General features: G+C 33.9%; 1 long non-coding RNA gene across 2 annotated transcripts in view; it reads left to right on the top strand.

The window, feature by feature from the left end:
• The window catches only part of LINC02531 (long intergenic non-protein coding RNA 2531), a 138833-nt gene extending 115039 nt beyond the window's left edge, over nucleotides 1–23794 (top strand). Inside the window, exons 1-2 of one of the 2 annotated variants that reach the window (NR_189296.1) lie at nucleotides 18683–19010; nucleotides 19456–23794. This is a non-coding gene — a long non-coding RNA (long intergenic non-protein coding RNA 2531). Of the gene's footprint in view, nucleotides 1–18682; nucleotides 19011–19455 lie in introns of those variants that run through there. The other variant, NR_189297.1, reaches the window with a different exon arrangement.
• Nucleotides 23795–27601: the final 3807 nt, after the last annotated feature.

The following is a 27601-nucleotide window of genomic DNA, read 5'->3' as shown; positions in this document are numbered from 1 at the left end:
TATTTTTACAACTCCTGCCATAACTAAATTAGAAAAGAAGGCATAGTGGTTTGATCCTATAGCTAGTCAAACTCTCCAGAAGTAATGAATTTTGATAAACCATGACTAAGTTTCCTCAAGACAGAGACAGTTAACATTCCCAATTTTTCTATTGTGTATTAACCGTAGACACAGAAGCTAAAATACGCACACACAAACACACACACACACACACACACACAAACTGAAGGTAAAAATAGAAGAATATTTGTGTTTTGTTTCTATGATCTTTCCACTAATATATTTATTTCTAAGCATGGCTGAAGAGACATTTAAAAAATAAATTATTTTTTCATTTTTTGTGGGTACATAGTAGGTGTATATATTTATGGGGTACATGAGATGTTTTTATACAGGCATGCAAGGTGAAATAAACACATTATGAAGAATGGGGTATCCATCCCCTCAAGCATTTGTCCTTTGAGTTACAAACAATTCAATTACATTCTTTATTTTCAAATATACAATTAACTTATTATTAGCTATAGTCACCCTATTGTAATATCAAATAGTAGTTTTTCTTTCTAACTTTTTGTACCCATAACCATCTCTGCCTTTCCCTGCAAATCCCTTCTACCTTTCCCCACCTCTGGTAACCATCCATCTACTCTCCATGACCTTGAGTTCAATTGTTTGTATTTTTAGATTCCACAAATAAGTGAGAACATGTGACATTTGTCTTTCTGTTCCTGGCTTATTTCACTTAGCATAGTTATCACCAGACCCATCCATGATATTGTAAATGACTGGATCTCATTCTTTTTTATGGCTGAATAGTATTCTATTATGTATTTGTATCTCACTTTATTTATCCATTCATCTGTTGATGAACACTTAAGTGGCTTCCAAATATTAGCTATTGTAAACATTTTTGCAATAAACATAGGAGTGCAGATATCTCTTTGATATACTTATTTCCTTTCTTTTGGATATATACCCAGCAGTCAGATTGCTGGATCATATGGTAGCTCAATTTTTATTTTTGTGAGGAACCTCCAAACTGTTCTTCATAGTGGTTGAACTAATTTACTTTCCCACCAAGAGTGTACTAGGGATCCCCTTTCTCCACATCCTCGCCAGTATTTGCTATTGTCTGTCTTTTGGATATAAGCGATTCTAACTGGAGTGAGATGATACCTCATTGTAGTTTTGATTGCATTTCTTCATCAGTGATGTGGAGCACCTTTTAATATGCCTTTTTGTCATTTGTATGTCTTCCTTTGAGAAATGTCTATTCAAATCTTTTGCCCATTTTTTATTGGATTATTAGATATTTTCCTGTAGAGTTGTTTGAGCACCTTATGTATTCTGGTTATCAATTCCTTGTTAGATGAGCAGGTTGCATATATTTTCTCTCATTCTCTGGGTTGTATTTTTACTTTGTCCATTGTATTCTTTGATGTGCATAAGATTTAAAACTTGATGTGATCCCATTTGTCTATGTTTGCTTTGTTTGCCTGTGCTTGTAGAATATTGCTTAAGAAGTCTTTGCCCAGATCAATCTCCTGGAGATTTTCCCTAATGCTTTAATGTAGCACTTTTATAGTTTGAGGTCTTACATTTAAGTCTTGGTGGTCATTTTGATTTGATTTTGGTATACTGCAAGAGGTAGAGGTCTACTTTTTCTTTTGCATATGGCTAATCAGTTTTCCCAGCATCATTTGTTGAAGAGACCATCTTTTCCCCAGTGTATGTTCTTGGCACCTTTGTCAAACATGAGTTCAGTGTAGGTGTGTGGATTTGTTTCTGGGTTCTCTACTCTGTTCCATTGGTCTGTGTGTCTGTTTTTATGACATTACCATGCTGTTTTGGTAACTATAGCTCTGTTGTACAATATGAATTCAGGTAATGGGATTCCTCCGGTTTTTTTGTTTGTTTGTTTTGTTTTGTTTTGTTTTGTTTTTTGAGATGGAATCTCACTCTGTTGCCCAAGCTGGAGTGCAGTGGCGGAATCTCGGTTCACTGCAAACTCTGCCTCCCAGGTTCACGCCATTCTTCTGCCTCAGCCTCCTGAGTAGCTGGGACTACAGGCGCCCACCACCATGCCCGGCTAATTTTTTGTATTTTTAGTAGAGATGGGGTTTCACTGTGTTAGCCACGATGGTCTCGATCTCCTGACCTCGTGATCCGCCCGCCTCGGCCTCCCAAAGTGCTGGGATTACAGGCCTGAGCCACCACGCCCTGCCGGGATTCCTCCAGTTTTGTTCTTCTTGCTTAGGATACCTTTGGCTACTCTGGGACTTTTATGGTTCCCTATATGTTTTAGAATGGTTTCTTTTCTATTTCTGTGTAGACTGTCATTGGTATTTTGAGAGGGATTGCATTGAATCTCTAGATTGCTTTGGAGAGTATGGCTATTTTAACAATATTGATTCTTCCAATACATGAACATGGAATATTTTTTATTTTTTTGTGTGTTTCCCTTTCAATTTCCTTCATCCGTGTTTTATAGTTTTCAATATAGAGACCTTTCACTTATTTGGTTAAGTTAATTCCTAGGTATTTAATTTTATGTGTGACTATTGTAAATGGATTACTTTTTATTTGTCTTTCACATTGTTCACTTTTGGCATATAGAAATGCTGTTGATTTTTGTATGTTGATTTTGTATCCTATAACTTCTTCGAGTTTATCCATTCTAACAGTTTTCTTGTGGAGTCTTTAGGTTATTCCAAATATAAGATCATATCATCCTCAAGGATAATTTAACTCTTTGATTTCTGATGTGGATGCCATTTATAGCTTTCTTTTGTTTGATTGCTGTAGCTAAAAATTCCAATATTATTAATATGTTGAACAACAGTGGCAACTGGGCATCGTTGTCATGTTCCAGATCTTAGAGAAAAGGCTTTCAGTTTTTCCCCATTCACTACGATAATAGCTGTGGGTCTGTCATATATGGCTTTTTAATAAAAAACATAGATATATTCCTTCTATCCCTAGTTTTTTGAAGGTTTTAATTATGAAAAGATGTTGAATTTTATCAGATGCCTTTTCAGCACTGATTGAAATGATCTCATGGTTTTCATTCTTCAATCTGTGGATATGATGTGTCACATTGATTGATAATCTTTCTAATGTATTATTGAAATTGGCTTGCTATCATTTTGTTGAGGATTTTTGCATCAATATTTATCAGAGATATTAGCCTGTACTTTTCTTTGTTTGATGTGTCTTTGTCTGGCTTTGGTATCAAAGTAATACTGGCCTAGTAGAATGAGTTTGGAAGTATTCCCTCCTCCTCTATTTTTTGAAATATTTTGAGTAGAATTGGTATTAGTTCTTCTTTCAATGTTTGTTAGAATTAAGGAGTGAAGCTATCAGGTCCCAGAATTTTCTTTACTGAATGATTTTTTATTATAGCTTTGATCTTGCTAGTTGTTATTGGTCTCATCAAGTTTTACATCTCTTCCTTGTTCAATCTTGGTAGGTTGTATGGGTCTAGTAATTTGTCCATTTCTTCTAGATTTTTCAGTTTGTTCACATATAGTTGCTCAAAGTAAACACCAATAATCCTTTGAATGTCTGCAGTGTTTCCTTTTTCATTTCTAATTTTGCACATTTGGATATTCTCTTTTTTTCTTACACTGACTAAAAGTTTGTCAATTCTGTTTCACTTTTCAAAAAACCAACTTTTTGTTTCCTTGACCTTTTATATATATATTTTTTTATTCCAATTTCATTTATTTCTGCTCTGATATTATCTTTTCTTCTGATAATTTTGGGTTTGGTTTGTTCTTGCTTTTCAAGTTCTTTAAGATGAATCTCTAGATTATTTGGTGTTATTTATCTTTTTTGAGGTAGGCATTTTTAACTATAAGCTTCTCTCTGCTGTTTTTGCTGTATCCAATAGGTTTTGATAGATTGTGTTTTCATTATCATTTGTTTCAAAAATTTTTCAATTTTCTTCTTAATATCTTCACTGATCCACTGGTTATTTAGCAGCATATTGTTAAATTTCCATGTGTTTGTATAGATTTCTAAATTTTACTTGTTATTTTTCAGTTTTATTATATTTTGGTTGAAGAAGATACTTGATATTATTTCCATTTTTTTTGACTGTTTTAAGACTTGTTTTATGACTTAACATATGATCTATCCTTAAGAATGATTCATGTGCTGAGAAAAAGAATGTGTATTCTGCAGTTATTGGATTAAATGTTCTGTAAATATCTACTAGATCAATTTGTTCAATATTTCAGATTAAGTTTGATTTTTTTGTTGTTGTTGTTAATTTTCTATCTGGAAGATCTGTCCATTGCTGAAAGTGAGCTGTTGAAAGTCTTCATCTGTTACTACACTGGGGCCTATCCCTCTCTTTATCTCTAATAATATATCTTTTAAATATCTGGTTGCCCCTGTGTTTGGTGTATGTATACTTAAAATTGTTATAACTTCTTGATGAATTGACCCCATTGGCATTATATAGTGACCTTCTTTGTCTCTTCTTAGAGTTTTTGTCTTGATATCATTTTGTCTGATGTAAGTATAGTGACACCCGCTCTTTTTTTGATTTCCATTGGCATGGAATATCTTTTTCCGTCCCTTTATTTTGTGTATGTGTGTCCTTATGGGTGAAATGTCTTTCTTGTAGGCAACAGATCAATGGGTCTTATTTTTTTTCATCCATTCAGCCAGTTGATGTTTTTTGATTAGAGGATTTAGTCTATTTACATTCAATGTTATTATGGATATTAAGGACTTACTCCTGCGATTTTGTTATTTGTTTTCTGGTTGTTTTGTATTCTTTTCTTTCTTCTTTCTTTCATTCCTGTCTTTCTTGAGTGAAGATGACTCTCTGGTGATATGATTTAGTTTCTTCATTTTAATTTTTGTGTATCTATTGTATGTTTTTCGGTTTGAGGTTACCATGAGTCTTGTAAATACTATCTTATAAACAATAATTTTGACCTCACCACTTACCAGTGTTTCCATAAACAAACAAGCAAAAAGAAAAAGAATAAAAATTTGCCTTAACTTTATTTCCAAGCTTTTTAACTTTTTGTTGTTTTCACTTATATCTTATTGTACTGAGTATATCTTGAAAAGTTATTGTTATTATTATTTCTGATTTTTTTAGACTGTCCCCTAGAATAAGGGTAGTTTACACACCACAGTTACAGTTCTATAGTATTCTGTGTTTTTCTGTGTCGTTTCTATTACCAGTAAGTTTTGTACCTTCATGTGATTATTACTGCTCATTAATGTCCTTTTCTTTCTGGTTGATGTACTCCCATTAGTACTTCTTGTAGGATGGGCCTGGTATTGATGAAATCCATCAGGTTTTTTTTTTTTTTTTTTTTTTTTTTGGTATGGGGAAGGCTAGAAGAGGTCTATAAAGTGAAGTTACAAGTAGAATGTGAGAGTTAAGAATCGATGAATGAATGTGGAGGCAATATGCACATGTGTGGCACCAAGATAACCACAATTTTAAAATTTGAAAAATAACTTTGAAGTATAAAATTAGGGAAAAAATATTTAATTAATGAGATAATTCACTTGTAAGAAGCTACCCCAGAAGCGATTTTTGCCAAGTGTTAAATAATATCAAGATTAAATGATTGGAGACCTTCCCTGAAAAGAACATGAGTAAATTTAGGACAATGTTTCAGCAACTCTCTGGAATCAACTGCCTGATTTAGAATTCTTGCTGTATTACTCACTAAATATCAAACACTTGAAAACAGTTATTATCTCTCTGAGCTTCCTCAGTTTGCTAATTTTTTAGAAAGAGAATTGTAATAGAAATAACTAATATATGGGATAGTTGAGAAGCTTTAATGTGTCATTGTGTGTAAAGATACTAACACAATGCCTGGGAAATGGAAAGCACTTGATAAGTATCACTGTGTATTGTTGTTCAAGCTGTCTGAAGATATAGCTTAGCGTATGTCAATGTAGTCCCTTGACTGTTGGCAATCAAATCACATTTTGTTTTATGATATTCTGTGGTAAGAAATTTGTGCATTTTACATATGTAACTCTGGTTATTTTTAAACACAATTTCAATGCCTTTTCTTCATGTATTTATGCCTTTATTTATCCAACTATTTATTTATTTATTTGATATTTATTTTAGGCTTAAGCATACATATGCAGGTTTGCTGTATGTGTAAGTTGCCTGTGACATGGGTTTGGTGTACAGATTATTTTGTCACCCAAGTAATAAGCATAGTACCCCTTAAGTAGTTTTTTCAATCTTCACCCTCCTCCCACTCTCCACCCTCAAGTAGGCCCTGGTGTCTATTGTTCCCTTCCTTGTGTACATGTATACACAATGTTAACTCCCAATTGTAAGTGAGAATATGCAATATTTGATTGTGTGTTCCTGTGTTAATTTGCTTAGGATAATGTCCTCCAGTGTCATCTTTGTTGCTGCAAAGGACACAATCTTGTTATTTCTTATGGCTGTATAGTATTCCATGGTGTATATGTCTCACATTTTTTTATCCAGTTGACAATTGTTGAACATTTAGGTTGACTCCTTATCTGTACTATTGTGAGTAGTGCTGCAATGAACATACATATGTATCTTTATGGTGGAACAATTTATATTCCTTTGTATATATACTCAATAATGGGATTGTGGATCAAATAGTGTTTCCGTTTTAAGTTCCTTGAGAAATTGTCACACTGCTTTCCACAATGACAACTGTTCACATTACCACCACCAGTGTACAGGCATTCACTTTTCTCTGCAACCTCACCAGTGTGTTATTTTTGGCTTTTTAATAGTAGCCATTCTGGCAGGTATGAAATGATATCTCAACATGGTTTTGATTTGCATTTATTTAATAATTATTGATGTTGAGTACTTTTTATCATATGCTTGTTGGCCAAGTGCTTATCATCTTTTGAAAAGTGTCTATTCATGTCTTTTGCCCAATTTTGATTGAAGTTGTTCTTTTCCTATTAATTTGTTTAAGTTCCTTATAGATTCAAGATATTGGACCTTTCTCAAATAGTTTGCAAAAATTTTCCTCCATTCTGTAGGTTGTCTGTTTACTCTGTTAATAGTTTCTTTTTCTGTGCAGAAGCTATTTAGTTTAATTATATCCCATTTGTCAGTTTTTGTTACAATTGCTTTTGGCTTCTTTATTGAAAAATCTGTCAGGTCCTATGTTAAGAATGGTATTTCTTAGGTTGTCTTCCACAGTTTTTATAGTTTGGGGTTCTGCATTTAAGTCTTTAATCCATCTTGAGTTTTTTTTTTTTGTATATGTTGTAAGGAAGGGGTCCAGTTTCAATCTTCCTCATATGGCTGGCCAGTTATCTCACACCATTTATTGAATAAGGAGTCCTTTTCCCATTGCTTTTGTCAGCTTTGTCAAAGAACAGTTGGTTGTAGGTGTACAGCCTTATTTCTGGGCTTTCAATTCTGTTCCTTTGGCCTAAGCACTTTTTTTTTTGGTATATATACCATTACCATGCTGTTTTGGTTACTGCAGCCTTGTAGTATAATTAGAAATTACGTAGCATATTGTCTCCTGCGTTGTTCTTTTTGCTCTGTTTTGCCTTGGCTATTCAGGCTCTTTTTTGGTTCCATATGAATTTTAAAATAGGTTTTTCTAGTTCTGTGAGGAATGTCATTGGTAGTTTGATAGGAATATTAATATTTATTCTTCCTATCCATGAACATGGAATGTTTTTCTGTTTGTGTCATCTCTGATTTCTTTGAGAATTTTTTTGTAATTCTTGTTGTAAAGATCTTTTACCTACATGGTTATATGCATTCTTACATATTTTATTCTTTTTGTGTCTGTTGTGAATGGGATTGCATTCTTGATTTGGCTCTGATCCTGGATGTTGGTATATAGGAATGCTAGTAATTTTTGTACATTAATTTTGTATTCTAAGACTTTGCTAAAGTTGTTTTTCAGCTTAAGGAGCTTCTGGGCAGAAACTATGTGGTTTTCTAGGTATAGAATCATATCATTTGCAAATAGAGGCAGTGTGACTTCCTCTATTTCTCTTTGGATAGCTTTTATTTTCTTTATCTTGCCTGATTGCTCTGGCTAGAAATTTCTGAACTATGTTGAATAAGAGTGGTAAGAGAGGACATTCTTTTCTTGTGCTATTTTTCAAGAGTAATGCTTCCAGCTTTTGCTCATTGAGTATGATGTTAGCTGTGGGTTTGTCATAGATGGCCCTTACTATTTTGAAGTATGTTCCTTCAATGCCTGATTTGTTGAGGGGTTTTAATATAAAGCATGTTGAATTTTATTGAAAGACTTTTCTGCATCTATTGAAGTGATCATGTGGTTTTTCCCTTTAGTACTGTGTGTGTGATGAATCACATTTATTGATTTGTGTGTGTTGAACAACCTTGCATCCCAGGGAAAAAGCCTACTTGGTCATGGTGAATTAGCTTTTTGATGTGCTGCTGAATACAGTTTGCTAGTGTTTTGCTGAAAATTTTTGCATCGAAGTTCATCGAGGATATTGGCCCAAAGCTTTCTTTTTTGTTGTGTCTCTGCCAGGTTTTGATATCACAATGATGCTGGCCTCATATCATGAGTTAGAGAGAAATCCCTTCTCAAGTTTTTAGAATCGTATCAGTAAGAATGTTACCAGCTTTTCTTTATACATCTGGTAGAATTTGACTGTGAATACGTCTGGTCCTCAGGTTTTCTGGTTGGTAGGCTTTTTGTTACTGATTCCATTTTAGAACTCATTATTGTTCTGTCCAGGGATTCAGTTTCTTCCTGGTTCAGTCTTGGGAAGTGGTATATTTCCAGGAATTTATGGATTTATTTTAGGTGTTCTAGCTTGTGTGCATAGAAGTATTCTAATTGCCTTTGAGGGTTTTTTGTGTATCTGTGAGGTCAACAGTAATGTCCCTTTTGTCATTTCTGATTGTGGGGTTTTGGTTCTTTTCTCTTTTTTTCTTCATTAGTCTAGCTAGTAGTCTATCGATCATATTTATTCTATCAAAAATCGATTCCTGGGCTCATTAATCTTTTGTATGCTTTTTCACATCTCAATCCCCCTCAGTTCAGCTCTGATTTTGGTTGTTTCTTATCTTCTGCTAGCTCTGGGGTTGGTTTGCTCTTGTTTCTCTTGCTCTTCTAGGTGTGATGTTAGGTTGCTAGTTTGAGATCTTTCTAACTTTTTGATGTGGGTATTTAGCACTATAATCTTTCCTTCTTACACTGCTTTAGCTGTGCCCCAGAGATTCTGTGTGCTGTATCTTTCTTCTCATTATTTTCATAAAATTTCTTGATTTTTGCCTTAATTTCATGGTTTACTCAAAAGTCATTCAGGAGCATGTTGTTTAATTTCCATGTAGTTGCATGATTTTGAGTGATATTCTTAGTATTGATTTCTATATTTATTGCTTTGTGGTCTGAGAATGTCTTTGGTATTATTATTATTTTTTAATTTGCTGAGGATTTTCTTATGGCTGATTGGGTGATCGATTTTAGAGTATGTGCCATGTGCAGATGAGAAGAATGTATATTCTGTTATTTTGGAGTGGACAGTTCTTTAGATGTCTATTAGGTCCATTTGGTCAAGTGTTGAGTTGGGGCCCCAAATATCTTAGTTTTCTGCCTTGATGATCTGTCTAATACTGAGAGTGTGGTATTAAAGTCTCCCACTATTGTGTGTTTATCTAAATCTCTTGGTAGGCCTGTAAGAACTTGCTTTATGAATCTGAGTGCTCCTGTGTTGGGTGCAGTTATATTTAGAACAACAAGGTCTTCCTGTTGAACTGAACCCCTTTCCATTATGTAACGCCCTTCTTTGCCTTTTTTATCTTTGTTGATTTAAACTCATTATTTATTGAATAACTAACATGATCCCCTTATTTGTTAATTCCAACTTGCAAAACAAATAATTTTGTATTAGGAAGATAAAAAATGAGAAATCAAGAATCAATCCAAATTCAACTACTCATTGGTAAACTTACAAATCTCTTTGATGATGAAAACACACACACACACAGACACACACACACACACTTAACAGATATCAGGGAACATTTGTGTGTGTGTGTGTGTGTGTGTATATATATATATGATATTGTATATCATTAAATAAATTTAAAGGCTAACCAGTCACATGAAAATATAATTTATCTAGCTAAGGATCTATTACTATGAATAATATTTTAATTTACTCCTAAATTATGCTAAATCATTATTTATGAATATCTATCCCATTATTGTTTCCATTTGGATCAAATTCCAGGAAAATAACTACTAGTTCAAGAGGTTGAAGAACTGTAAAGACTTTGATACATATTGATAACTGACCTTTCATGACATTTGCCTTTTTTTGACGTTCTTACTACTATGAGAAGTTTTATTACTGTCCAAAATTATTTACTGCCTCCTAGGTAAGAGGATTCTTCACTCACTCTCTTTACCATGTGTTGTGCAGTGCAGTGTGTTATGATCTCCATTATTGAAAGTGTGTGTGTGTGTGTGTGTGTGGGTGGGTGGGTGGGTATTAAATGATTTTGTTGTTTACCAATGAGTAGTTGATTTTGAGTGATTCTTGCTTTTTCATGTGCAGTGCCTCTTCCAGTGGGCACTTTTGTGTGCCTTTTCCAACTTATGTATTTAAGACTTGACCGTGTAACTTGCTTCAGCAATGAAAACTGAGCGTTAAGAACTGAGCAAAAGCTTTAAGAGCTGTTGTATTACTCCCGTACACTTTTTCCCTCTAGCACAAGAACGTGTTACAGATAAGGTCTGCTACTTTATTCTGCACCTTAGAATGATGAAGCCAAGTGTGGAATAGCAGAATCATTTTTCACATGCAATACAGATTTTGTAAACCACTAGCATTTTCTTGTTATCACAGCATAGACTAGAAAAAAACTAGGTGACACACAAAAATTATTTGACAGTGTTTATTTTGTAATACCTATGCCGATAATGAAAATTGACATTAAAAAATATTTGCCTGGCTTCCTAATAGCCATCTTTCTACTGTTAATCTTTTGCTTTTCTTCCCAATTTATATTTTTGAACCAGATCTAAGATTGTTTTTAAACTTGAATATTACTTATACAATTTTATTTTCATTTATATATTGTGATTTTTATGCCTCAGTGTGCTTTTTCTTTTTTGTGTTGTCAGTAGTTCTCAATCTTCTTTCCTTATTTCACTTTTTTTTCTAGTGATTAAGGACATATGTATCCTTACTTATTTATTTCAACTAGTCACTTCCTTAACAACGGATTATACACATCTGTACTTCTCTAATATAGACTTCAAAATATAAACACCATCTATTGATTTCCTCCTAGCAAATGTGAGAATATAAATATGCTTTGGGTTTACTAGATTTTCTGAATTCCAGACATTTGTAACTAACATATGGAAGAATATACTCCAAACTAATTCTCATCATGCTACTATATTTATGCAATAAATAGAATTATTTTTGACAATGGCATAGTTTTATTCATATTTATAATAATAAATTAGGCTCAACTTCACATTGAATGATTTCAATTCTCATTATTGATCCTATCGTATTATTATTCATCTGGTTCTGCTGTCCTTATTTTGATTCTCTATGACTAAAAATGTTCCTTTGATTCAAGAAAACTGTGCAGTTAAATTTTACTTTTTCAGCCTTTTTACATCTATCGTTATCTTTTCTTTTCTATATTAATGGCAATTAATGGTTGTTATATAACCTTTGGAACTCAAAACTTTTTCTTTCAAATAAAGTCAAGTCAGTCTGATTTGGGTACTATTTTGGGTGACTCAGGTAAAATAATTTACTCTGGTGTGTCTAAATTCCTATTTAATTTAATTTTATGATATATGATGAAGAATTCATACTGTATTATTCAATTTTTTTTGTTTCAGGTGACCTATCTCCTATAATGTTCTTGATTATCATTTCTGTTCTGTTGGTTCTTGTCAAATGTGAGAATTAAATTTACATTATTTATCTCTGTTTTCTGTCTTCTTTATCTCTGATTTTTAAAATTCGTTTACTAAAGATTTTATTTTTTAGAGCAATCTTAAATTCATAGCAAAATTGAGAGAAAAATACAGAGATTTCCCTTATACCTTCTGTCCTCTACCTGTACCTTTCTTATTACCTATATCCCCCACCAGTATAGTGCAGGTATAACAATTAATGAACCTACATTGATACATCATTATCATCCAAAGCCTATAGTTTGCATTAGGGCTCACTCTTGGTGTTGTACTTGCATTCTGTGACTTTGGACAAATGTATAATGGCATGCATTCCCCGTTATAGTCTATAGAGTATTTTCATTGCCTAAAAATCCTCTGTGCTCTGCCTGTTCATCCTGGCCCCCATTATCCTCCAGCAAACACTAATGTTTTCACTGTTTCTATAGTTTTGCTTTTCCAGAATGCCATATAGTTAGAATGATACAGTATGTAGCCTTTTCAGATTGGCTTCTTTCACTTAGTAATATGCATTTAAAGTACCACATGCTTTTCCTGGCTTGATAGCTCATTTCTTTTTAGTACTAAATCTCCCATTTTTTAAAAAAACTTTTACCCATTTCTTACATCCTGGAACATCTTCCCAGCTCTCCTTATCATATACTTAAGTTTATGCATACCAGTTCTGATTTAAGCATTCCTAATATAGCTGGCAATTCATAATTATGCTTTTGCCTTTATAGCCTATACTTATATTTTCTCCTCCCTTTTTTCCAGCCTGCCTCTCCCCCAGGTCCCACTTTCTTTAAGTTTTTTATTTTATCAATTTTTATCTCTTATTTTAGATTTCAAATATTTTTACTTTTTCAGACGAGAAAATGTAAGTTATGTACAATTTTCTTCTGTTTTGGGTATTAGCTCATTTTTCAAAGTTAAAAGTCTTAATTGAAAGTTTGAGCTTCGGAAGTCAGACTGTTTTATAATTTTGGCTTTTTACCACTTACTAGCTCTGTGATATTGGACTTCTCCAGCACTCAATTCTATTTACTCACTTATAAAATGTATAGAGTATTAATAATTAAAATAGGTATTTTAATGTCCAAAACTCGGAGTCAAGCAAGAGACCTAATAGATAGTTAATGTTCCATAGGTACCAGTGCTAACACTGATGAAATGATGCTCTTCCCCATCCTCATCTGTGCTTTGGTCTTTCTCCTGTGTCCCAGTGTCTCTCACAAGACTTAAATTGCTCCTGGATTTTCTGTTGTTATTTTTGTTTGCTTATTCTTAAATATTGAAAATATAACCACTTTTGGTATTTTTCTCCGTATGAGGTAAGCTCCAACCTCACTTCCTGAGAAAGCAATGGTGGCATAAATGAAAGTAGATAGAACAGGACTTGATGCCAGTAAATCAGTTGAGAATTCATGACAAGGGAGGATTGGGGTTATAGATGGGAAATATTTTATTTGTACAAATGGCACTACTGCAGATTGAAAAGTACTGGGCTGACAACTTCAATGTCAGAGTTACTATCCAAAGCAAGTGGGTGGCAAGTATGACTACTGATAACTATATGGATTGGAAAGACTCTTATTGTTACACTGATGATTCTCAGAGTGGATGGAACATATAAACATATTATCATACTTAATTAGCATGTTCCTTCTTCATGGGATGAAGTCCTTCATAACATGTTTTTCCCCTTCTTTACAGGGATTTAACTTTTGATCTCTATATATTTTGTTTCCCAAAGTGTTTTTCTTTGTCTTATCTATTTCCCTTTTCAGTCCCCCTTGCTTTGAGTCTGGTTTTCAATCTCTGTCTGACCCCAAGACTTGAAAATATTAGTCACTTTATATTTCCCTGGAGCTGCTTTAATCAGAACTCAAACTTCATGTACCTTTTGCTATATGATTTCATTTTGTTCCATGGCCACAACCAAAGGACAGAGCTACCCTTTCTCCTGAACACAGCATCAACGAGGGATATCAAAGCAGGGACCAGAACATACTTCACTCCTCCAGAAGGAAAGTTTTAACAATCTTATTGAAGTTTATTTCTGCCTAGAGTGATCTAGGGTATAGGGCTAAGTGTCAGCAAATATTTGAAGGATTATTTTACAAAATAACCAACAAAGATAACAAGAATAAGATAAAGGGAAAATGTTATTTGGATGTTTACTATATGATACATTCTTATTTTATATTATTTATTTAATATATTTCATCACTTTTTATAATAATGGATACATTCCTTACCCCTCAAAATTGCCTCTGTTATAAGTTACCAAGTCCTTTGTTTCTGGAAATATTGTAGAAGAGGCAGTATTATCATCTGTCAAACAAATGGTTTTAAAAAGACTTTGAACAGATTGGGCAAATTAACCAGATCAACGGTCACCAAGCTGGGGCACTACAGAGTTCTACTGCAGGGGATGAGGCCAAGCTTGCTTCTTTCTTAGACCAGAGCTGCTACACTTCCCATCTGTTTTGTATTTTGGGGTTCTATATCCAATTTTATTTAAATAAAAAATTTCTGCTGGTAGAGTAAAGTTATAAATTGCTTGGCTAAATGACTTTTACATGCCCTTTCATTCCAACAATTCTGGTATGATTTTAAGTGTCTACTATTCAATGTGCAATATGCAAATATAAAGTTAAGAAAACAACTTAAAACATAGGCTTGCCATTCTTCTGTATTCATTAGTTAATAACTCTTTATTTCATTACTGTAATATAATAAGACATAGCTAATAGTTTTAAGACAGTGTGGGTAATGCACTATCCAGGATAAAGGAAGCTTAAGCTAAAGCATGATTATGAGACAGGAGATAAATTAGGGGACTAGTAAGTGGTATATTGATACTATTAATAATACATTATACAACATAATATTAAGCATATGACTTAAGATATCTTTTATAGATATTTAGATCCATTATGACTCAATTATAAAATATTGCCCTTGTTTTCAAAGAAATCATCACAATAGTTTTGGTAAATAATTTTTCCTTCCAATCTGAAATCTTTGTAAAGGATGCATTATGCGTTATGTAATAGTAAGATCTGTTCTCTCTTTACAAAGTTTGAAATAGTAAAAGCTAAATTTTTATCCTTCTATACTTGAGAAGTAGAAATTTCCATATGAAAAGCCATGATTGTGAATTTCAATATGAATAAAACTCCCAGTTCCACAAAATGGAAACATCCAATTAATTGTTTATTTGTCATAAGGAAAAAAATAAAACAAGAATTTGACTCAGTATTAATTGAGTGCAGATGATATAGATAAAGTATGGATTCTGGTTTCCATTGTCCTATTTTCTATTGGTAATATGGAACATTCTCAGCAGTACTTCAGCTTCTCTGTGTTACAGAATTTATACCACTCTGTGACTTCAGATAACTCTGAGAATCCTGTGGAGATAATAGCCTGTGTTCTTGCATGATGTTCTTTCATTAACATTTTCTCATTATGGTTCTGGCACTGTCCTTGCATACTTGGAAGGAACGGAGAATGAATTAAGGGAGTAGCCATGTGTCCATAGTTATAAAATTCTATCTTGTGACTGACTTTATGATTAAACTATTGCTATAGCAATGAAGACTATGTCCGAAGTAGAAATTTCAATATTCTATTTAGGCATAACTATTGAAGACTCAAGGTTGACATTTCTATAGTTTCATGAAAGTTTAAAGTAGATTACATTTTATTCAATATTTACAACTTCCGGTAATTGTGGTGGTGTACTAGTATTAATTAAAAATAATTCATATATTTTACATTCATAATTTTTTTCCATTTCTATTTATGTGAAACCTATGGAAATTAGGCCAAATACCATACTGGACATAAGAACAAATATAGTATATGCTTGATTACCATTTAGTTTGTCATAGATTGTTTTGAAGCATTGTCCTGATATATAGTAAAATCTCATGACTGTATTTTAGTACTGAATTTTAATACTTGTTAAATAAACTTTAAGAAACCAATTCAAATTACTATGAATAAAATGTTAAAATAATGACAGTCAAGAAGTAATTTCATCAGTTTCAGTGACCAAATTAAATAACTACCTACCTAACACTGTCATCAGTACCAAATTGTCAGTATTGTAAGTGATTGTGTAAGTATATGCATGCATACATGTAATAAGTTTTTGTTATTCATTTATTACTACATACAAGATAATGATAGATTCAGGCAAAGCCTCCAGACCATGAGGTATGATCTGCACTATGTCATCTGCACTCAATAAGTACTGATTACCTGCCATAAACAAAGTACCAAGGCTTACGTCCTCCTAAACATTGCACTCCAATGAAACACTGTAATCTCGTAAGGCACTGAGATGATTCTTATGAGTCTAATAGCACTCTAAGAGAGAATATGAATAAATTACAATGAATAATTAAAATAAGTAAATATATATGACAGGAGGAAGTTCAAATAAGTTTTTATAAAAGATATGGCACTGGATTTTGCCTTTAAAAATGAAAGTGCATGGAGAAAGAGAGAGAAATGGTGAGGAAATAGTTGGGGGGGAAAAGCATACCAGATACAAAGTATAACATGAAAAAAAATTAACAAAAACAGTTCCACAAAAAAGATCTATAAGATGTTGAGGTAAACTGCTTTCCTGCATCATTTACAAAACCAAATTCAATAATATGCAGACAGGGAGTTTCTAATATTTTATTTTTAAATAGAGTTGTATTGTATTTTATTTCCTTGGAAAGGGGCTTAAGTACAATGTCTCCTGGACATAGTCTCCCTTGAAAATGTTACATTCTACTATGATACCAGAATATACTATCCAAAATTTGACCAAAACATACAAATAAGTCTGTTTTAATTTCTTGTTCATATTACATTTGCAAAATGAACATTATACTGTTTGCTATCACTAACAATAAATGAAAAAATAAAGAATGCTTTCTATGAGCTAGCTATAAGCCATTATAAATGCTGTGTTTCCAAATGCCCTAATTTCTTATGGCACAAAAATATCTGTGATTATAAGGCCTGAGTTAGCCAAATAGTAATCTTGATTATTCTTAGCAGGGGAAAAAAAAGCATTAAGTGAGGACATTTCATATTTATGGACTTTTGTTTTCATTTTGTTTTTGAAATTGCTATTTTTGTTCAAACATAAACATTGCTATTTATTTGAATTATACAGACAGGTAGTCCTATGACTCACACATTTTATTCTTATTTAACTTTTGCCTGCTCTAAAAGTACTTTGGATCATTAATCTCAAACTTTTTGATAAAGGTCACCCTATCAACATACTTGTTCTTTCACTTATTTAGTTATAATCAAAACCTGTTCTGACACATAAAAGATGTTCTTATTATGCCAAAAAAATCTGGACTGGCATATTAATTTGCAAGCTACCCAAGAATCTTACTTTTATGAGCTCAACAGTAGCCAGATCAACACAATTACAGTCTTTATAAAAATTGAGTTTCTCTATCAGAAAATGAACAGAAAAGTCATTAAAATAGTATTATATACATATACCTTGGAGTTTTTCTTAAATCACTATTAAAATGGCAATTTGATTTTTAGAAAAATACTGAGCTATGATGATTTAAAAAAAGAAAGAAATATATAAGAAGGTGTAGCAATAAATGAATTCAGGAAGAAAAAAGATGAGAGAAAAGACATTAGAAAGGGGAAAAAAGTACCAAAATGATGTCTGCGTATACTCTTTTCTTAGCAGTCCCCAGTGACTCATTTTGATTCACCAAGTTCTTTAATTTTCCTTTCTTTTAAAGTTGGAATAGTAATATTTCTCACATCCTATATTTATAGCATCAGAAACATCAGTAGACTTTTGTAAATGCACTAAAATAGCAATAAAATGATGACTTGAAGCAGTTAATCTCCTTCTAAATTTTGACACATTTAAAGATATAATACCATCTTCATGAATTTGGTAGATTATAGAATCAATAACCACTTTGAGTGATTCAATTGCTTTTCTAAACAATAATGAAGTTAAAAGGAAGAAGAAAATTTCCACACATAATTGCTTTCTTAGGACAATTGAAAAAATCATACAAAAGCATATAAGTAAATTCTTTGTGACTGTGCATGAAGGACATAAACCAAACATAACTAGAATTAATCAATGACAGTCAAATTACAGCTGTTTTACACAATAGTAAACACATGTTTATGCATTTAAAAAATGCCAGACAGGCTGTGGTACTAGCTTATGTTTCCTTTTAGTCAAAAAAATAAAATGGCATGTTTATGCTTTGGGAATAAATTTATAGAAGTTAATATTTTTAAGGCAAACCTCTGTGTGATATTGTGAGGTTAGATAATGACTCTAGTTATCATTTCCCAACTCACACTGTAGCTTAAAACATAAAAACATAAGTACCTGGACCATTGGACCAAAGGAGGTGAAGGAGGGATGCTAAATAAAGAGGAACCACTGAGATAGGGCTTTTTATTCTGCTAGAAAATGTTAGCTATCATTGATTGAGAATTTACTCTCTGTTAGACACAAGGCTAAGAATTTTGTCTAGCATCATTTCCATGGCATTATTTCATCACCATAACACTATTAGATAGTTACTGTTATTTTCTGTTTTGTGATGATGACGTTTGAGGTCAGAGAGGTCAAAGTATGCTCTAGGCATCACAGCCAGTAAGTGACAAAATGGGAATGGAATTCCCACATGTAATGTTTGCTCAGAACTTACTGACTGTGCTCATTTAGTCCAACACTTTCTGAGTAGAATCCCAGAAGTTCAAGAGGGTAGATGTTAGAACAAAGTGCTGCTTAACAAGTTGGTCCTTGCAGCAGGTGCTGACTTTTCTAGAATATTTGGGTTGAGGAAAGAGAGTGGTGCCAGGGAGAGGGAATCAATCAGTACTCCAGGGACTAGGAATATGTCATTTTAGTGCTGAAGTAAGTGGGTCAGAGGGACATGCCTGAGAGGATGGAAGCCTCAGACCCAGAAGAAGTCAGAAACCCAATGGTCCTGTCTCCCAGCTCTACCCCAAATAGAATATCATAGCCAGAGAAGCAAGGCTTTATCTATGACCAGAGATTGAAAGGTAAGTCCAACATTCTGACTATCCAAGTTCTTGCAGTTTATACACAGTGGCAGATTGACTGACCACCTTGCAGTCATCTCACCTTCTATTGTCTATGTAAAATGGTTATGTGTTTTTCCTAAAGTTTAGCTCCGCATGATTCCGGGCATGACAACTGCCCTTTTGGTTCTCAGTGGCTGTCTCTGCCTGTGAATATACTAGCTGATGATGGTAGTCTCTACTTAAAAGACTGTTATGTAGTTCTGAGTTTATATTTGCTTAATATTTAACATTAAGCATAGAATGTTCATATTAAACAAATGTTTTGAAGTTGACTACATTAAAACACTTTTAGCATTATTTTTAATGATGAATCTGCTTGTACCATCCAAAATCTTCAATTAGTCATGGCTTGTTTTATTTCTTTCTGAAGAGTATGTTTATTTAATTCCATGCCATTTTACAGGTGAGGCAATCAAAGCACAGAGGAACTAAGGGGTTTGTCAGATGAATCCTGTAATTTATCTCGGCTTTTGTTTTGAAGTCTGGACTTTGAGTGGTCTACCTACGTTGAAGGGAATTTTTGGCAACGGAGGAAGATGACCAGTGTCACACGGAGCAGGCTGGGATTAAAGAGACAGTGCCCTTGGAATGAATGACAAAGTGACAGTAGTAACCTGCATTTTGTAAAGCACCTCGTTAAGATGCATATTCTCTTCATATTTATTCCCCTTTCTATATCACTAGGTTTTAGATATTCCAGCTTGACTTAAACTGCAAAGTGGGACATAAAGGGAGAAGCCACAATCTATGCTTGGGTCTGGATTGTGCTGTAATGCAGCGAACAATGGTGAAATGAAATTGATCATTAAAAGGTGTCAAAATAAGTCAAACCTCGGGGGATGAGAATTGGCACTCTGAAGTCCAGCTACTCTTCTTGTGAGGAGAGTATTTCCAAAATATGAAAACATTTGAGTCTTGTTTTATTATGAGAAACAGCTGTGGGGATCCATAGTCAGATATTTTGTATGCCCAATGAAGCAGTAGAACTAGAACTCAGAAATATGTAGCGTTATGGAGGCAAGGATTTCTTTATGAGGTATGGCAGTTACTGTATGCTGGCGCTGCCTTCACTAGCCTAAGTGGCAGTAAGCCTAATGGTTCTGTGCTCTGCAAAGCTGTGGATTGACAACTGAATTTAAAACATTCTTCATAACAAACAAGGAACACAAGGTATGGGGACTATTTGTATATTCTCAATTTGGGGTATTCCATTTGAATGAGCAGATAGAAAACGAGTGAAATCAACCTAAAAATGACTCTGAGTCCCATAATTCTTGCTAATAGTGGAACCTGTGACCAGCCTTTGTGGTCTATCTTAGCTTATCAACAGTTTCCTTTCAAATCATATTTGAGCAATCTGGATTCCGTTCAAGCTTACTGTTTTATTATCTTACCACTATTTTGGCACCAGTATCTTGGTTTCTGCTCTCGCCATAAATCAATTTAGCCCATACCTGGGTCTTAGTGAAAACATTTTTTTTAACTGGGGTATTATGCAGAGACAAAACTAAACAAACCTTAGTCTGGAGAAAAAGAGGCAATATTTTCTTTATTCATTAAAGCATCATCAATCCTTACTCAGTCCTTCTTACAAAGCTTTCATTTATTACCAATACTTGAAGTCTTTGTGACTCCATCCATATACACATCATTAATAATATCCTTAAATTCAAAAATGCCATGCTACTTCTTGATTCTTTGCCACATTTTCCTATAGTTTCAGACCTCCTGGCATGCTACTTTGCTAATTCTATCAGAGGCAAAGTAGTTATATCTATAAGAGATAATTGCAAAATTTGCTTTTCCAACAGAAATAAATTCAAGTCACTGAATTGGAGAAATTGATGTGTTTTATTTTATCTATCACTATAGATAAATCTTGAAATTCTAAGATTGTTTTTATTTAAGATAGGTAAATGTGGATTTGAGGTTAGGTGATTCAACTGTTATTTATATTAAGGCAACACTTGAGAACAATCCAATAGCATTTCATAAAGTCCTACCTAAGTCCTGTGGAATTTCGTTTCTTTGATTTAATGCCAAAATGGGAATCATCTTGTTAAAGTGAAGGTAAATCAGCATTAGGCTTAGACAAATAAAGGAAAAGTTTGTTTTACTGCTGGTGTCTAAGTTTAGAATTTATAAAGAAGTGACTAGGAGCAAAACCCAATAACACATTGGGCAAGATGTTTTATTCATTCATTGCCACCTACATATTCAACTCTAAATTTTAATGTGTGCCCTTAATACAGAAACTAAACCACATAATTCTTAACTTTGTTCCTCAATAGCAGGTAAACAATATTGAGATTAATTGCATGTTGACTTAAGCTTGTCATCACCATAACTAACAAATAAAACTGCTCTTCAAATGTATTTTAACATTTTTTATTTCAATTGAAGTACAGAGACATTTTTTAAAATGTTTCATCTTGCTTAAAATGAACAAAAACTTTCTATATCAGATTGTCTCTTACAGTTCCAGCCCCTAGTGAAATCCTTCGCTTAGACCCTTATTATTATTAATTATTCAACATAATCTTGACTATTGGTTTTCTATGCAGCAATCATTGCTCTTTCTTTCCCATATTGTAACCTCAACTTTGGCAAAGTAGTGATAAGAAATAGTAAAGAATTCAGGACTTAACTGTTTGATAGGATGCTTGCTTTTAAGGGCTTGAGAGTGAAGAGGAGTAAGAAGCCAGTTTGATGTTAGGTTCGGCATAGTTATTCTTTTTTCAGATTTTTATCTAAATCAAACCTTCTTATATGAGCTGTGGAAGCAGTGTCTGTCTGCAAGTCACAGAGATTTAAGGGACCAGAGGGATCAAAATATGTAGAAGAAATGTGGAAACTGTACAGCAACCAAAGAAGGAAAGAGAAGCATTCTTCCTTAACTAAAGTCGCAGCTCCATAGGGGAAGTGAGAAAAAAAGCAAGATGAAAATAGAAGAGTCACGTGATTTTTGTGCCAAAAAGAATCAGTGGTGAATTAATTGGTATATTGTCTTTTTTTTTCTGCTGTAGACTCAAAAAATAATGATGAAAACATAATCCCCTCCCACTCCTGCCCTTACAGGAAGGGCGGTTGGAATTTTTTTTTTTCCTTGAGTTGTCAAATCTTTGGCCTTCTGTACAGTAGACATTTGTCTGGATTTGAGGGATTTGCAAGTGGCAGAGGACAGAATCCCGCTCCCAAGCAGACTCATTTCAGGGGAAGCAGGACATCAGAGGAAATTGCTCAGGATGGAATAAAGGCAGCAGCAATGCTCTCTGAGGCAGCAGTGCTCAGAACACGGTGAATGACACCAGGGACAGCTGCTCTGTTTAGCAGAAGGAGGAATGGGAGGCACACAGACCACTGGGAATAGCCAAGGTGGTCTGGAGGCACGCAGGGGTGGCAGGGGAAGAAAAGTGAGAGCAATCAGAACTGATATCAGATTCCGCACGAACTCTCTCAAGTGGAAACTCAGAGACAGATTTAATTTGATTTTGAAAAACTTGAAACAAAAAAATATTTCTTGTACCTCGTACCATGGAGCAATTCGTAAGGCTACATAGTTAACACTTCGTCAACTCTAACAACTAATTCGGAGACCAGACCTGCATTATTCTTAGTTCCATGTGCTCTCCAAAAGTTACTAGGTTTTTTTTTAGAATGTTTTTTAAGAAAGCCAAATAGCTTAGGAATAGATTTCAGACATTGGAATTCCTACTGACATACCTGCCTCTACATTAGGTTTGACAGCTCAGAACATGAAAAGTCTGTTGCCATAAGTACTGAAACAATTGGGGCAACATTCATGTTCTGTAACCACCTCTGTCCTGATGTTTAATCTGTGTATCATTGATTCGTGTTCCAGGAGCCTTTTCAATTTATAATAGTTTTACACTTAACTGTGAAAACTTTGTAAAATTGTTTTCAAATAAAGAATTGTATATTTTTCCAACAATGGGAATGATAGACCCACTGCAGAAATTATAATAAGCCAAATGACAGGCTTAAAATAAGGATCGTTATGCCTTTTAAGATGACAGATAAAAATCCAATAGAACTGACACAATGAAAGGAAAGTCCTGCTTCACGCTAGTGGGCTTTACCACACACCACACACACACACACACACACACACACACACAGAGTCACCAACAATGCTATTCACTTGTCTGAAGATATGTAACTACACAATGCTGTCAATGTGAATCCTGAGCCATGCACATAGTTCTTTTCTTATTGCACCAATTTGGATGTAGACCTATTAAAATTTGTGAATTGTCAATCAATCTTGTCTTGAAACATTTGTAAACTATATATACTGTGGGTAAGAGAGCAAATGGATAGGAGAAGGTGTACTTTACACTACACCAATAGAAATCAGATAATGGTGTTCCATGAAATTTAAGAATGTGTATTTGATCTCACATTTTGTTTATTCCTCGTTCCCTCGAAAAATACATTCTCACTTTATTATCATAAACAACTACTGATTATTGTGAATTATATACAGCATTATAAAATGTGTTCATTAGCAATATGTATTCTTTACCGGGTATTAAAGCAAAAATACATAGACATTTGTATAAAAATCTTTTTATGTATTTTTATTGAAATCTTTGTATACATTTAAAAATTAACCATAAAAGTTTGTTTTATAACTATTCTTAATTAAACAAAGAATCAAGAAAATAGTACTTACAAATATAGTCTAATAAAGATGCTAATTTTAAGATTTTTTTCTAAAACTAAAGTGTTATTCAATATGTTTCACTTATCAAAAAATATAAAAAACATCGCTTTTTCTTCATATAACATTTATATGCATAAAACTCTGACCTAATGTCTGAATTTTGACTGTTATTTATACATTAATTTACTACATTCACTGAGAAGTTGTGCATACCTGGTAGGTTATAATGTCAGTTGTTGCCTTCGTCCCCTTACTGAATGGTGTGAGAGCTCCTAAACAAGCAATTCAATTATACTTGGAGGCTGCAGGTAGAAATAAAGGCCCACTTGAGATGATTTCCAAGCTTTGGCCCAGTGACAAAAAATAATCAAGATCTGATATTCAATCTTTTCCCACTCAAACTTTATTTTTGATTTAAAATTGAATGTACAAATGCAAAATATGTTGCCTTTTAAACTTCAAGAAACATATTATATTGCTGCCTAAACAAACATAACATTGCTTGCTGGGTGGTGTTATGTTGGGATTCTATATGTGAAGTGACGAGCAGAGAAACATGACTCCACTGTATATTATTATTATGTCCTACAAAATACAATGCACTGATTGAAAGAAAAATAGTTATTTTCAATATTCATTCTTGTACCCACTGAAAAAAGTTATTATCCACCTTCTGTTTGTCCTAATATGCTTGAAAATCTTGAGCAATGTGCACACAATTAAGGTGTGTTTTAACTTTATATGAATTATAAGTTATGGATACATACATGATTTTTTTATTGTCAGGGGAAAAGAAAGCTTAGCTAGAATTTTCAAGTAAACCACTTCAACATTTCCCAAGGAAGGAGCCACTCACTATTATTTGCTTGAGAAATAAACCATTGTAATCTCTTAAAGCTTTCCCATCTTTGGGAGTAGGTGTATTCATGAACAATGAAAAGCCCAGGATTGAATGCTAATTCTGGTAGGTAGGTTCCTAAAGAGAAAAAAGCACAGCTCAATTGTGAAGAGAAAGTATCTACCCTCTCGGTAGAGACCCTGGAAAAGTAAGAAAAACTAGTAATGGAGAAGGCATTAACTCTTGATGAATGTTCTTAGAAAAGCCAAGTAGTCTCTGCATTATTTATTAGGAGCCGAGATCGAAGGAGTGTGTTTGCCCAACTGTAATGCAAACATTCTTACTTATCAATTTTCTTACCTAAAACTCATGCTATAATCTATTTCCTTATATATATACTATGAAATAAAAAGCATGTTTCTTATAACAGTATCACATCCAACTTTGCAACTTACATATTGACTTTCATTAATTGCTAAAAACTGGGATTTTCAAAAATGGACCAAAATGTCCACCAAATATTCCAAAAACTCCCAAGCTTTAGATCTTATATGAATATGTAACTGCACATGGTTGTCTCAGTATCACCTCAAACTTGTCAGGTCCAAAAGTTAGTTTTCATTCTTTCACCCGTTCTCTACTTTTCTCCCGATTTATTATTTTTACTAGTAAAACTCCATTCTTCTACACATCATCCCCCTCCTGCCACCCAGTTCTCTTCCTACCCTGCATTCCCCTGCCTGCCTCCACCCCCAAGTCGTTCCCGATCTATTTTTCTTTACAGAGACCAGTTTCATATATTTTTCTCCTTTTTCATTGTACTGAGTACGGTCCTCCATTCTTTTGTGAAAAGTAAATTATATTCTTTAATAAATTATTACAAAATTAGTACATACTCATTAGGAAAACTTGGACCATACAGAAATTCACAGGGATAAAAATAAAAATCTGTGGCATTCTCACTACTAAGAGATAAATACTGTTTGTTACACATACACACTTTATATATATTTTTATTATTTTTAAATTTCCAACTTTTAAGTTCAGGGGTACATGTGCAAGATATGTAGGTTTGTTACATACATAAACACATGCCGTGGTGGTTTGCTGCACAGATCATCCCATCACCTAGGTATTAAGCCCAGCATCCATTAGCTATTCTGCCTGATGCTCTCTGTCCTTCCACCCCCAAACCTGTAACAAGCCCCAGTGTTGTGTTGTTACTTACTATGTGTCCATGTGTTCTCATCATTCAGCTCCCACTTATAAATGAGAACATGTGGTATTTGGTTTCCTGTTCCTGTGTTAGTTTGCTAAGGATAGTGGCCTCCAGCTCCATCCATGTCCCTGCAAAGGACATGTAAGTATAGCTGCCTGTTATTCTATGGTTTATATATACCATATTTTCTTTATTCAGTTTACCATTGATGAGCATTTAGGTTAATTCCATGTATTTGCTATTGTGAAGAGTGCTATAGTGAACATACTTGTGCATGTATTTTTATAATAAAACAATTTATATTCCTTTGGGTATATACCCAGTAATGAGATTGCTGGGTTGAATGGTAGTATTTCTGCCTCTAGGTCTTTGAGGAAGTGTCACACTGTCTTCTACAGTGGTTGAACTAATTTACACTCCCATCAACAGTGTAAAAGCATTCCTTTTGTTCCAGTGCCTCACCAGCATCTGTAGTTTTTTTGTTTAGTTTTTTTTTTTTTTTTTTTTTTACTGTTTAGTGATAGCCATTCTGACTGGTATGAGATGGTATTTCATTGTGGTTTTGATCAGTGATGATCTAATGATCAGTGATGTTGAGCTTTTTTTCATGTTTGTTAGCTACATGTATGTTTTCTTTTGAAAAGCATCTGTCCGTGTCCTTTGACCACTTTTTAATGGGTTTTTTTGTTCTTTTCTTGTAAATTTGCTGAAGTTCCTTATAAATGCTGAATATTAGACCTTTGTCAGATGGATAGATTACAAAAATTTTCTTTCATTCTATAGATTTTCTGTTTATTCTGTTGATAGTTTCTTTTGCTGTGCAGAAGCTTTTTAGTTTAATTAAATCCCATTTGTCAATTTTTGCTTTTGTTGCAATTGCTTTTGGCTTCTTTGTCGTGAAATCCATGTCAGGTCCTATGTCTAGAATGGTATTTCCGAGATTGGCGTCCAGAATTTTTATAGTTTTGGGTTTTACATTTAAGTCTTTAATCCATCTTGAGTTATTTTTTTGTTTATGGTGTAAGGAAGGAGTCCAGTTTCAATTTTCTGCATATGACTAGCCAGTTTTCCCAACAACATTTATTAAATAGGGAATTTTCTCCCCATTGCTTGTTTTTGTCAGGTTTGTCAAAGATCAGATGGTTGTAGGTGTTCAGTCTTATTTCTTTCTGGATTCTCTATTCTCTTCCATGATCTATGTGTCTGTTCTTTTTGAGACAGAGTATCGCTGTGTCACCCAGAGTGATGGAGTGCAGTGGTGCAATCTTGGCTCACCGAAACCTCTGCCTTTCAGGTTCAAGCAATTCTTGTGCCTTAGCCTCCAGAGTATCTGAGACTAGAGGCACACACCACAACACCCAGCTAATTTGTGTATTTTTACTAGAGACTGGGTTTCACCATCTTGCTCATGCTGGTCCCAAACTCCTGACCTCAAGTGATCTACACACCTCAGTCTCCCAAAGTGTTGGAATTACAGGCATGATCCACCATGCTGCGTATGTGTTTGTTTTTGTACCAGTACCATGCTGTTTTGGTTACCGTAGCCTTGTAGTATACTTGGAAGTCAGGTAGCATGATTCCTACAGTTTTTTTTTTTTTTTTTTTTTTTTTGAGACAGAGTCTTGCTCTGTCACTCAGGCTGGAGTGCAATGGGAGGATCTCAGCTCACTGCAACCTCCACCTCCAGGGTTCACACCATTCTCCTGCCTCAGTCTCCCAAGTAGCTGGGACTACAGGCACCCGCCACCACACCCAGCTAATTTTTTTTGTATTTTTAGTAGAGACGGGGTTTCACTGTGTTAGCC

Source organism: Homo sapiens, chromosome 6 (assembly GCF_000001405.40).
Source record: "Homo sapiens chromosome 6, GRCh38.p14 Primary Assembly".
NCBI lineage: Eukaryota > Metazoa > Chordata > Mammalia > Primates > Hominidae > Homo > Homo sapiens.
Note: the sequence above shows the minus strand (reverse complement) of the source record. Positions and strands in the feature narration are given on the sequence as shown.